The following is a 14,119-nucleotide window of genomic DNA, read 5'->3' as shown; positions in this document are numbered from 1 at the left end:
ACAGAAATTGAGTGTAAAAATTTTTAGAAACCTTAGTAGTAAAAATTTTAGGTCTGTTGTATCTAATCATAAAAATTGGGGGCTTGCATATCTATGTCTTTCTAAATATTTCTTGTATTTTATTCGTATTATATTTTATAAATGTATTGGTTTATGATAGATTGGAAGTTTAAAAAAACATAAAAATAGTTTATTTACTACAGATATTTACTACTTGAAGTAAATGTGTACATACACTATGTCAAAGCTAAAGCAAGAACTCATTTAAGCAAACACTTCTCAAAAAACAATTTGATTTTTAGAGCAAGAAAAAAGTATGCTTTTGAGAAGATAAACGTAAATGCGTTAAGTCTTCACAATTTCATATTTGCTGATAGTGATTTACTTGTTGAGAAATAAAATTTCTGTTAGAAAATTTCTATGTTCTATCATTGTAAAGTACAGTAAAAATATTCCATTTATAGAAATAGAAAATATAGGTAACATTTAAATGTTTAACTTTGTTTATACATACTCCTTACTGATATTTGTAGTATACACACATAAAACATACTTTCCAATGCTTAAAAAACAATCAAATGTATCAATATATTCTAATTGATTCATAAAGTACTTACACAATGGCCAAGCTAATGAAAGCCCAAGGAGAAAAAACAGAAACCATTATCAGCAGTATGCAGAACAAGAATAAAGAAGAAGCTAAAGTTTCTATCAATACAAAATGTAAAAAAGCAAAGAGTCAGAAAAAATACTTCTAACTAAAATTTTCTCCCAAAACAAAAATTCAGATAAGAAAATAACTAAGCTTTAGTTACCAAGAACATTCAAGTCACAGATTATTAAATGTCTAAAATTCCCCAAAAGCTAAAGCTTTCCCAAAACAGTAAAAGCTTTTCCATTACTGTAAATGAAAATCCTTTTAAATGAATTTGCATAATTAGAGGCTGTCTGCATGTGTGCATGTAAAACTGGTTTTTAAATTACCCTTATTTGGATCCCACACACCAGCATTATTTACAAGAAAGCAAGATCAAAGAGAAGTAAATGTGACTAAAATGTTGAACACTTTTTAAACGGTTAAAAATAAAATCGTCTTTCTTTCAAGAGAGTAGTATCCTCTCATTCAAGGAAGGTGGAACGTTTCTGATCTTACTCATAATTCTAAGGAAAAAGTTATATCAAACACTCAAATATCCATAATGGGGATAAGGACAGCAAGGAAAATTAAAATCAAGAAGGAACTTTTAATAATTTACTTTCCTTCCTTAATATCATTTGTCATTTAAAAAGATAAGGCAAAAATATAAAATGACCCCCAAATTATCTGCTATTCTTTCAGAGGGGTTCCAATAGTAATTTTTTTTAAATTAATTTTTATCCTGGGAAATTTTCATACATAAAACTGAATGGTATAGGTTTCTCCAAGGACAGAAAACATGATTAGACAACATCCAGTTCATAATGTCTACTTTCTAGCAGGATTTGATGCCAAATAACAATCTAGTACCTAAGAAGGATGTATATAAACACAGCTGTTTTCTTTCTTTTTTGTTTGTTTGTTTGTTTGAGACGGAGTCACTGTCTCCCAGGCTGGAGTGCAATGGCACGATCTCGACTCACTGCAACCCCTACCTCCCAGGTTCAAGCGATTCTCCTGCCTCAGCCTCCCAAGTAGCTGGGATTACAGGCGTGCACTACCATGCCTAGCTAATTTTTGTAGTTTTAGTAGAGACGGGTTTCACCATGTTAGCCAGACTGGTCCTGAACTCCTGACCTCAAGCGATCTGCCTGCCTTGGCCTCCCAAAGTGCTGGGATGACAGGCGTGAGCCATCATGCCCAGGCAAATACAGTCATTTTCAAGGTGCAAACAGTTGCAGATATTCATTGCTTTCATACATGCATCCTGTCACGTGGAACATTTGCAATTCTGCATTCCGTACCTGGCCTGACAGGGAAGTGATAGGTAAGGGGCACTACAATGATGCTTGCCTCAAGGTTGGTTGAATGACTATCAAATGGACTGAAACTGTCTCAAAAGTTTGTATTCAATTGCTGCAAAACTCATTACAAATGTCAGTATTTGGTGCTCTTTTTTCTACTCATCATGAATTGCAATAAACTGTAGGATCATCTTCAGAAAAGCTTCCACTTAAAGAAACTAACTCCCACACCCAGGCCTACAACTAAGCCACAGCTATAATTAATTGCCCTTTGCATCTTCTCTGAAGTATTAGAGACTTTTGTCTATTTGGAAGGAGACTAAGTTTGAAGAATTTAGTCCCAGCATTTACCAATTCTTCTCTTAATGTATAACTATGAAGTTATAAGATTTTTAAACATACAAGAATGCACATGGCCAGGCATAGTAGCTCATACCTGTAATCCCAGCACTTTGAGAGGCCGAGGTAGGTGGATTACTTGAGGTCAGGAGTTCAAGACCAGCCTGGCCAACATGGTAAAACCCCATCTCTACTAATAATATAAAAATTAGCCAGACACAGGGGCATATGCCTGTAATCCCAGCTACTCAGGAGGCTGAGGCAGGAGAATAGCTTGAATCCCGGAGGTGCAGGTTGCAGTGAGCCAAGATTGCACAACTGCACTCCAGCCTTGGTGACAGAGCAAAACTTCGTCTCAATTAAAAAAAAGAGAGAATGAAAGATCCACTGCCTCTCTTCAGATACTTGGGTACATGGGAATACTACTCATGAATGCCAGTATCACTACTGCCATAGAAAATGGTTTTGAAGCTCTTTAGAACTAACCTACAGGGCAATGGAACACACACATTTCTCTGAACATCTGTACTGACACTAAATCTTTACCCTTTGAGAATGAATAAGGATCAGCCACAGGCCATTCTGAAGCTAATCTGGCCATGAAGTATAATACTGTCTTGCATCAAAAAATCAGGTTTCAAGAAGAATTTGTCTCACCATAAACTGATGAGAGTAATCCTTCTTGAAAGATGTAAAATAGCTTTGAAGGCAATTCCCAAAAATGTTTTGGTAAAGACTGAATATTTATAAAGCTTCTAAATAAAAATGTTTAGAAGGGCAATACTGACCTATGATGTCAATTCTGACATTCCAAATAAAGCTCCTCCATCTCAAACCTTTTACTCCCCAGATGATGGCTCACATATGCTGGGCTGGAGTAGTGACGTTGTACCAGACGCTGGCCCTGAAAACTATTATTTCCATTCAATAGATGAGCAACAAAGGCTGAAAAGAAGGTGAGTCACCTAATAAGCTAAGTAACTGAGCCAGGTTTCAAAGGGGGCCTTTTGATTCCAAAGTGCTCACGCTTGGCTCACTCTTTTGCCTCCCATAACTACTTTGAGTCATTTTCATACACAAAAGAGACTCCTTTTCAGTACTAAAAGACCAAGGGAAAGAAAGAGAGGTGATGATATAATTAATGTAAAATGCCTTAAGGAACACCGAAGTTTTTTCCTGTAAGTATAGAAGTTATCTGAAAACGTAAGGTTAATTTCAGTGCTTATTACCTTAGCTATCACAGATCCAAAAGAATATAGACCAACATTTTAGATTTAATTTTCCAAATAACAATGATGTTTGTATTGTAAGAAAGCAACTCCATAAGTTCTAAATACCCACAGGAAACTTTTTTTTTAATAGCATGAAGTGTAAGTCTCCTCTCTCATTCAAATTAATGAGTGTGACATGTCTATTTCAGGGGAATAAAGAATACCCTGAGAACCTACAAGCCAACTTATTAGGAAAGGTGAGAATGAACAATAAAGGAACCAGCATATGGCAAAATCAAAAATAATTTGCTTAAGTTATTCTAAGCTCCCTGTCCAAACACTTTTACTTCCTACTTTAAGACTATTTTCCCCTTTCCTCCCAATAATCTCAACTACCATCTTTTACCATCATTTATCCTCTATAACACTCATACTAATGTGATTTTAAAATCAATCACTGGATTTATTCCCCCTACCAGGAGAAGAACTAAATCTGGATCAAAAATTCTATATAGTAGATGTTTTATATTAAAATTAATCACCTATTTATAAATATAAGATGACATCAAGGTATCTCACAATAGCTTCTGTTTCCCTGGCTGAGGTGGACTTGTATTAGAGGTACCCACAGGATGCATTGAGCTCTTACGGAGCCCACATCAGAAACTGCAGGACAACCCCTCCTACCACCACCCCCGCCAACCCACGGCCCCAAGCACAATGATCAACACCTGCCAGCCAAATGCGCTGGACCTTGACTCATCCTAGGTCTGCCAGCTCCTCATCCTGAGTAAGTCATCCTCAGAAAAATAACCTCCCAAGATGGCAATGGTATCAAGGAGAAATTTCATTTCTCACCACCTTTTGGATTTTAAGACTAGATTTATCTGATCATCGGAGAAAGTCAAGGGCTGAAGCTGCTACGATTTCAACTGGTATGCTAAGAGTGGAGAGGGTTTATAGCTAAATAGAGAACAGGCAGAAAGAAAATATACATATTCATGATTTTAAACTTCCGTGATAGTAAGAGCTTCTTTCTAAGAGGATTACATAAACTCTACAATATCAAACACAGATGATTAAAGACTCAAACAGTTAACACTCAAAGTGTCAAGCATTCCAGCATGAATTATATTGGAAATCCAAACACTTTTGGGGGGAGATTTATTATATTATGAAGAGAAGCAAACTGAAACCTACTTAAATGTGGACATCTAGGCCTAAGAAACAAAATGTGATAAAACACTATAACATAGTTTAGAAAAACAATTTTGTGTTTTACCAACTTTCATGCATCAACATAACATGTGACTTTATAAATGTGGTCACCAGTACTGTGATTCAGGTTATAAGTGGGGAGAACATGGTACTACAATACTTTCAAGACTTCCCCATGTCGGCAGTATCAATTTATCATATAATGCATAAGTGAAAGGCCAAAATGAAGTTGGAATTATCACAATAATACTGTTCAAGCTCATCATCGGAGATTAACCATTTGACCTGAATTCCTGCCTTCGTTAAAAAGATTATAAAGTCTACTAGCAATTAAGTTGAACTTTACGAAACTGCCAATAGTCTGCAATTTTTGACATGCAAAATATCAGTTTTATAGGGTTCATCTACTATACCTATCTGAAAGTTATTCCCAATAGATCATAAAGGAGTTTAAAGAACAAGGTATATAGCAATCTTTGGCAACATGGCCCCTATCAATTTATTTGAGAAGAAAATGCCTAACCATACTTAGTAGTCTAATAATTATCACAGTCAATATTACTATTAGCAAAAGAGAATGAGGACAGAGTATTTTCATCATGGATCTGCCATTGGTGAGTTATATTATTTCCACTTCTTTCAACCTCAGTTTACCTATAATTAAGGAACCAGATGATCACTTATGCCCATCCCAGCTTTATCACAGAACTGAATAAAAGATGTTAGACTGCTGGCAGTCACGATATTTAATCAGGATTGTAAAACCACATTAGAAGTTATTGCTAATTTAGTAGTTTGATCTGATAGAGCAGTAAAGTTTACACCAACTTACTTTTTTTTTTTTTTTGAGATAGAGTCTAGCTGTCGCCCGGGCTGGAGTGCATTGGTACAATCTCGGCTCACTGCAACCTCCGCCTCCCAGGTTCAAGCAATTCTCTGCCTCAGCCTCCCAAGTAGCTGGGATTACAGGCACCCGCCACCACACCCAGCTAATTTTTGTATTTTTAGTAGAGACAGGGTCACCATCTTGGCCAGGCTGGTCTTGAACTCCTGACCTCGTAATCCACCCGCCTAGGCCTCCCAAAGTGCTGGGATTACAGGCATTGACCGCGCCCAGCCTGGTGTTTTTTTTTTGTTTTTTTTTTGTTTGTTTGCTTTTTTGACAGAATAACCTATCCCACCCCTTTCATCTCTCACTCCTCCCCCAATTAAAAATAAAATTACTATTGGCATGCCCCTCAGTAAAGTGCTGGTAAACAAATAATTAATTAATATTACCAGATTTGGTTTCTACTTTATAGTCTGTTTTTATAAATGAAAGATCATTAATCTGCATATGAAAATTCCACAACGCAAGGTTAGTTTTTTAGAGTTCTATTGTTTGGGTTTTTTTTTTTTTTTTTTTTACAATATGTCTTTTTGTATTGTTTTTTGCTTTTCTTTTTTCAAAACAACAAGACTGTTAAATCACATAATTGGTGTTCACTCCAGCTTGAAACTAATGAAAAATACTACACTAACAATTTATATGGTACAAATTCAGACTTGTCCATTTCTAGAATTTTCATAGAGGCAAACCATTAATCTTATTCAATATTTAGTACTGGCTTGGTGCCTGGCATTTTGCTAGGAGATAGGGGAAATACAAAATATAGTATGACATAAATACTGCCCTCCAGAAAGTTACATCCAAGCATACAGGAGTTAATTTAATATCTGTGCAAGGTACTATTGGCGATTTGGTGTCCAAGTGCATGCTATTATCATTAAGTGCTAGACAATTAGAAAAGATCAAGATCACAAAGGGCTGAAGCAGGCAGGGAAGAAACTTGGCAGACAGATAGAAAAACAGCAAGAGCAAACAACTTTTCTGCGTACCAGATACCCTAAGAAGCACTTTTCAAAAAGAGCTCCTTTAAACTTCCTAACAATCCATTGGGAGAGTTACTATTATCTCCATTTTGCAGGCACAGAAATTGAGATTTAGTGATATTAACCAATTCATCCAGGATTGCATAGCCTAGGAAGCTGATGCACGCATGCAGGAGACTGCATGTTGAGTTAATTCCTCAAAGAGAGGGAGGGTCTTGGGGAGGGGAAGGAAGATGGACATGGTAGGAGTGCTGGGGAAGAGAGAACAGTGAGTATAAAGGCCCGGGAATAGGAATGAGGAGACTTCCATCTCCATTCCTGGGAAGAAGGGATAAAGCTTGACATGTTAAGTCAGGCTCTGAACAGGCCATATAGTTTGTATCTGGGTATTTTCTTACTAGTCACACAAAGTAAAAGTTTCAAGATAGCAAAAGTCTAGGTGCCCTGTAAAACATAGACAGTTTAGGCTGGGCGCAGTGGCTCACGTCTGTAATTCCAACACTTTGGGAGGCTGAGGCGGGTGGATCATGAGGTCAGGAGATCCAGACCATCCTGGCTAACACAGTGAAACCCCGTCTCTACTAAAAATACAAAAAAAAAATAGCCGGGCGTGGTGGCGGGCGCCTGTAGTCCCAGCTGCTTGGGAGGCTGAGGCAGGAGAATGGCGTGAACCCAGGAGGCAGAGTGGCCAAAATCGTGCCACTGTACTCCAGCCTGGGCGACAAAACAAAACTCCATCTCAAAAAAAGAAGAAAAAAAAATATATAAATATATAGACACTTTAGTCTCAGTTCTTATGAGCTCTTTGATAGGAAGTATTTGAAATTGCTATACTTTCTAGAGGTATGTTAATTTTCTTGTTTTAAATCAAGATATTAAAAAGTAAAATTAATAAGACAGCCATTCTCTTTCACGCTCTACAAAATCCAAGTTAGGTTATACACATTTGTCCCTTGCAACAAATGCTGCATGTTTCATTTTCATGACGGCAAAGCAAGTCTATGGTTTTATACCTCAAGGCTTCATCATAAAATACTCAGCCAGCAGGCACCAAGAATGGAACAACAACAAAACCCAAGTCATTAAAAACACACTTGAAAGCTTTCTAAATGATGTTCTGTGGCTGTCTGTAGATGAAACTTGCAAAATACAGAACATTAGAAACTTGTATAATTTATTTTTCTGCTTCATTTACACCCTGTGGAATCACAGTATCAAATTTTATCCAGGAAAAAGGCAAAGCGGTTGAGGCTATTATCTATTCCAGTATACAATCTAAGGGTGTTCTTACCTCACAGTTGCTGAGATCCAGAGAAACCCCTTTCAAGTTATGATTACAAGCCAGGCCCAATAACAGTGCTCTGAGGGGAGGAAACACACATATTAGATACACATTCCACACACTGCCCAAAAGAAAAAATGCAAGCACACTGAATAAAGCCTAGAGAAAGAAGGCTGCCTTTTCTGAATCACAGGTCAAGCACCAAGCACCCTCTTACTTTTTAAAATGCCAACAGCATTTCTGCCTCACAACTACAGTGAAAAACTGACTCTGCAGCATTCTTTTTGCCTGACAGGCAGTGAGCCCATCATAAATGTAAAACCTGCAGGATTGCTATTCCTATGCAAATAAACCAACAGCACACCTAATTGCATACTGAAATTAAATTGTGCTCATCACAGATAAATTCCCACTGCATCTGCTTGAGAAGAGATTTAATAACGTTTAGAATATTATTAAGCAATTGTTATTAGAGTCGCAAAGTAAAGCTAGTTTTCCCTAAGGAATATGTAAGTGAGGAAGTCAGGCTCTGTAGTATAACAGGATGTCAAATTATATCTAGATGAGTTTATTAAACGACCTACAGTAGTGGGTGGGCAAGGGTATAAAACAAGGCATATGTCTTGAATTGGAGTCCAGGATCCTGCCTGTCCAACTACCTGCTGAGCTGAGACAAATCATATCACTGCTCTGAAAAGGAATTTTCTCATCTGCAAATTGAGGAGATTAGACTAATCACTTGGATCCACTTTGACAAGTCAGTCCTATAAAATCCAACACCATCAAGCAAGCTTGAAACAGAAAATTCACACATGCACACACAACCACTAAATTATACTAAGTGGACAGAAGACCCTAAATCAGACTTTGTGAAAAACATAGAGATGAACATAAGATGGTTCCTGCTCTCAAGCAAGGAAAACAGATATGTGTGCCAATAACTCCAACACAAGGCTGCCAGTGGTAAGTACTAGAAGAGTGGAAACCAGGTATTTATTAACTGGGGGCGATTACCTGTTTTCCATGTTCCCAGGAAAAGGACCTCCACTCAGCATACCCCAAAAATACCCTAGGGTAAGGGTGAGGTGGGAAGGTAGGGAATTATTTTATGCCCAAGTCTCTGAGACTTTCTTTTCTAGTGATTCTCTGGCTTTATCTACTAAGAGAGAACTCCAGCAGTGGCATGGAACACATAGGGGCTCGGCTGCCTCCAGCTATGAAAACCCCCCTCCTCCCACTCCCTGACCTTGTTAGGAGGCTGGAGGTGAGTGCCTTCCTTTTCACTTTTTAAATTCAGTTCACTAATCCCTTATTCTAAAACAGTGTCCTTTGAGAAAGACTGGGTATATCTCATCTGTGTACTTGTTCAATTGCTTATTAAATTGCTTCTCTTTTCCTAAAAATTACTATGCCCCCTTTCTTTCATGGGCGCAGTATTGAGTCAGTGAAAGCGCTGGAGGCTGAAAACCAAAAGGCCAGTTCTCACATCCCAGCCCAGCGAGTAATGGGTGAATGACCTTAAGAACATCACTTTTCGTGTGTGTCTCAAGTTCTTGTCAGTAAAATGAGAGAGTTAGGATATTACCAAAGAGGTCCCTTTTATTTCCAACATATGCTGAGTTTCTAGGACTTAGACACATATTTCAACATTGCATTTTTATGATGCTTATATGGAAGGAAAATACTTCCTACTTTTCTCACATGTGAATTAAGGCCAAGAAAACAAATGATATGCTTTAAGGCATTTAACTATAGAAGCCCAATGATTAGGAGGCAACAACTCATGAGACTAGTAAAAATAAATAACCCATAGAAACTGTCCCTAGTAAAATAAAAGAACAAATACAATAAAGCATACTGGGCACTGGGGAAAAATTCTATAGCAAAATATGTTGTTTATTTTAACCTAATGATGGCAAAATTGCCTTAACAACCATCTTCTAGATCCTCAATCACTATTGCAAAATTGCTTAGAGAACAATTTGTATTTAATTCTTCCAGCTCCAGATCGGTGGCACTAGTTATAATTTCAGGGTAGCACATTCAACAGGTTTATGAAAAATACTCAGCCAGAAAGATGGGGTCACAGAGAAGGGGTACCACATGACAGGGAGAAAGGGGATGTCCAGGAAGAAAGGCTTGGGGGAGGGAAAATGAAAGACCAAGAATGAGCAGTAACCAGGAACTCACACTGCACTCTGAGTGATGCTGGAGCAAAGAGCATCCTTGGGACACATATGAACCAGACTATTCTAGCAATTTTAGAAAACACCAAGGAACAGCATCACCATGTTCTCTAAACCCCCTTGAAATACATTAACATGGACCAAAAAAGGCCTCAAAGGAAAATCGCAACAATGAAGTAAGCGGTCATATTCTCTGTCTTGCTTCCCCCTTCCACCTCCAGCATAACACTCTACTTCCCCAATTCGCTTGTAAAAGAATCTCAAATTAAGTGGGAAACTTGTGGGGAAAAATATTGTTATGTCCAAACTTAAAGCGCTGTCTCAAAAGAAATTGTGTTGCTTTCGTTTATTCTCTCATGGCTACTAATCCCAAACCCTTAGAGAAACAAGGGTTTCTGCAGTTGAAGGTGGAATGAGGTAGGGAACACTGCTGAGCCCATGACAGCTGGCTGAGAGCAGCGGACACTGCTAGGCACTTCCCAGAACCCCCTCTGGGTTCTTCCTCTTTACTGGAAGAGCCTCCCAGTGCAGCTTCTCCCTTTTGTCTGATCCTGCTTTCTCCCCCTTCCCTTTTCACCGGTGGTAATCCCAAGAGAATGTCCTTATAAATATCCTACTTGCGAATCTCCATCTCAAAGTCAGATGCTCAGGAAACCCAATCTTCAACAGTGATTTGGGGCAAATTACTTAGCTTCTCTGAGCCTCAATATCCTCAGCTGTAAAATGGGGATAATGATACTAACTTCTCATCACTGTCATCCACATTAAAGGTGACAGGCCATATGTAAGCACCCAGCGCAGTGTCTAGTTTAGGGTAGTACTGTGCAAATTCCTTTTCATCCTCACCCTCTCACACATAAACCTGAGAACTTCAGTTTTGTGTTATCTTTTCAAATAATTATATCACATTAAATGTATACATGGAATTTTATTTACACAATCTTCAGCCATGAAGGCTTTCTCCCCATATTAAAATTTTTGCTGATTAAAACACAGAGCTGAAGAGACTACTGATTTAACACTATCAAACATTCACACCAATAACATCAGGTCCAAGATTTAACAATTACAAAATATCTTTGAAGTACAACATTTACAGGTATATATGCAACAAAGTACAGTAAGTCCAGCCTTGTTGCAAACTGGAATATTCCGCAAAATCAGTCACATTAACCAACAAAATGTTACTCTATATTATACAAAAGTAAACAACATTGAAACAATTAAAAATAGAAAACTATTTTGAATATTCTAATTTCCTGCTGATATATTACCAGGACAAGGACCTTCTCTGGTTTTGCTTCCTATCCTGTCATCCGGTGTCTAGCACACTGTAGATGCTCAGTAAGTATTACTTGAATGAATACATAAATGAGAATGATTATAATGGAACTTTAGAATACAATTCTGATAGCTTTCTTAATATCCATACAAACGGCCAAATCATGAGGTGTTTATTATTTGTGGCTGTTATATTTAGGGATCTCTAATATATTAACTCAACATTTTTTAAGCCTGCAATAATATAACATCAGACTTTTTTTTCAGCACTTGACTGGATCTACTGGTTTTTTTTTTTTTTTTTTGAGATGGAGTCTCACTCTGTTGCCAGGCTGGCAGTGGTGCAATCTCAGCTCACTGCAACCTCCGCCTCCCGGGTTCAAGCGATTCTCCCACCTCAGCCTCCTGAGTAGCTGGGACTACAGGCATGCACCACCATGCCTGGTTAATTTTTGTATTTTTAGTAGAGTCGGGGTTTCACCATGTTGGCCAAGCTGGTCTGAAACTCCTGACCTCAAGTGATCTGCCCACCTCAGCCTCCCAGAGTGCTGAGATTACAGGCGTGAGCCACCGCACCCAGCCTGGATCTACTTTTTTAAAGGCATCCATTGTTTTGGTCATCTGGTACTATATGAAATCAAGAACTTCATACCTCTCAAAACAGAAATAAAAAAGGAAAAGAAAATTTATAAATTAAATGAAGCTTAATTTTCTAGTAAGATGAATAGCAGACATTAATTTTAACATTTCATACACATTACAAGGGAAAAATTAAATGCTGATTTACAGTCAGCTGGGAAGGGAGAAATCCATGCATACATTTGAGCATATCTGACAACTTTCATAATCGTAACTACTTGAAAATACCTTCTTTAGACTCAAAGAGAATTTGACCCTACAGTCAAATTCACTGAACTTGTACACTAAACTTTTGACTCTTTCTGGCAATAGTCAACAGAAATCTCAAGGATAATAAATTATTCTCAAACCTCAATTTAGCTAACAATTTTAACTTCACCACTATACCTACACTAGGGATATTAACCCATAAGTTGGCTGCCAAATAAAAGTGCCAAATAGCCCATGCTAACCTCAGTAATTCAGAAACCAAAGTAGCTAAAAATTCATTCTGTTGCATACATACAATGTGTTTAGAGTTTATTACTATTAGTAGAAAGATTTAGAGTAAATGCTGATGAAAACACACACACACACACACACACACACACACACACACACGAACAAACGAATATGCCTGAAATGGAATGAACAGAGGTTAATATAAAAGCAATAGTAAGTACCTGGGAGTACAACTTTTGTAGATCAGTGACTCCTGCCAAGGTCATAAACCAAAAGATGTTTTTTCTTAGAAGATGCAATAATATCAATAGTGCACAATGTACTTTTTAAAATTTTAATTTATTTTTCTGCCCCAGAGTAAAAAGGCATTCTCATCTGTGGTTTTTGTCTTTGGATTATATATCTTTCTCCCTTCCCTCAAGCACATTCGTAAAAATAAGTTGAACTTTAAAAGCTCTGGAGAAAGTGAATTAACCACTCACTTTAAGGGCTCAGGAGACAGTTTTGTGCCTGAAAGGTTGATGTGCATCAAAGCCAGAGAACTACTAAAAAATTGCTTGAAAGATGGAGGTACTTCTTTTCCTTTCCTGAAAAAAACACAAGAGTTACACAAGCGGTTACACCTTCATCAAACATATTCATTGATTATTCAGACACTGTGAAATCTACAAATCAGTCATATTTTCTGCAGAAATTTAAAAGTAAATGGAAACAAATAAATGTCCAAAACCTAAAGCCATAAATCCAATATCATTAAAGGAACCACATAAGTGAGGTAAAGAAATATTTAGTCCATAAAACAATTCATTGCTATTCTTCATAGCCAATGAATTCATTGAGTTTTACCTCTTGATCAGGAAACTCCAGGTTTGGAATTTTTAAAAATAGGAGGTCAGAGAAGATGTATATTTCTCACCAATTTAAAGGCTTTCCCACTGGGTGGCACAAAATGTTAGAGATCAATATCTGCATTTGGCAATGTTTTTAGATGTAGCAGGTTTCACATGCAACAAGACTGTGATCTGATGTTGAGCTAAAACAGCACAGAAAGTCCAAATGGCACGAAGCCTGCATTACAAATAGCCTATTCAGCTAGTATGTCCATACCAAAAACCTAATCATTTCAGGCCAACTATTAGAACAGTGAAAGACAAAACTACAAAATAAAATGGCTATAACCTCTGAATACATCCCCTTGCTATTACAGAGAAAAGTATGTGGATCAAATCATACAGCTCAATAATAAGGTAGCATCAACACTATATGATAAGGGTTTAAGAAAAACAGGATTCAGGAGTCCAAGATGGAATCTGAACACTGTGCTTGTTCTGTTCTATCTGATAGAAATGATGGAAGGATTGAATAAGTCAGTATATGTAAAGCACTTAGGCTGATGCAGAGTAAGCACTCACTTAACGATAGTTATTCATATTCTGTGGAGGGACTCATGGAATCTCAGGGAAGAGGGCATCCTAGTGGTTTAGCTCAACCACATAATATTCAATAATATTTAATGTTCCCCTTCATTGTGCACATGTACCCTAAAACTTAAAGTATAATAATAATAAATAAATAAATAAAAACTAACTTTAAATAATAATAATAATAATAATATTTAATGTATAGAGATCTGGGAAAATCTGTCAATATTTGACAGGTTTTTTTTTAAAGTTTTAAAACAGGACAATTGAAGACTATTTGAGAAGAAA

The 14,119-nt window shown here is 37.3% G+C and overlaps 1 protein-coding gene across 20 annotated transcripts in view, besides 1 other annotated feature; it reads right to left on the bottom strand.

The window, feature by feature from the left end:
- CARMIL1 (capping protein regulator and myosin 1 linker 1) overlaps nt 1-14,119 on the bottom strand; it is a 341,157-nt gene that overhangs the window by 112,423 nt on the left and 214,615 nt on the right. For 11 of the 20 annotated variants that reach the window (XM_017011008.2, XM_017011009.2, XM_017011015.2 and 8 more), the window contains exons 16-18: nt 12,893-12,997; nt 7,873-7,942; nt 618-629 (exon numbers count right to left, since the gene is read on the bottom strand). In XM_017011008.2, coding sequence (XP_016866497.1) covers nt 618-629; nt 7,873-7,942; nt 12,893-12,997 — 187 coding nt within the window. The remainder of the gene's footprint in view (nt 1-617; nt 630-7,872; nt 7,943-12,892; nt 12,998-14,119) is intronic. The other 9 variants (XM_017011010.2, XM_005249218.2, XM_047418994.1 and 6 more) reach the window with 1 other exon arrangement.
- Nucleotides 3,023-4,222: an enhancer, noted in NCBI's record as "P300/CBP strongly-dependent group 1 enhancer chr6:25504114-25505313 (GRCh37/hg19 assembly coordinates)". NCBI's record gives its function as "activates an origin of replication core promoter dependent on BRD2, BRD4, P300/CBP, MED14 and CDK7 cofactors, with strong dependence on P300/CBP, by STARR-seq in HCT116 cells {active_cell/tissue: HCT116}" and the evidence as "EXISTENCE:reporter gene assay evidence [ECO:0000049][PMID:35650434]".

The sequence above is a fragment of the Homo sapiens genome, chromosome 6, assembly GCF_000001405.40.
Source record: "Homo sapiens chromosome 6, GRCh38.p14 Primary Assembly".
NCBI classification, from domain to species: Eukaryota; Metazoa; Chordata; class Mammalia; order Primates; family Hominidae; genus Homo; species Homo sapiens.
Note: the sequence above shows the minus strand (reverse complement) of the source record. Positions and strands in the feature narration are given on the sequence as shown.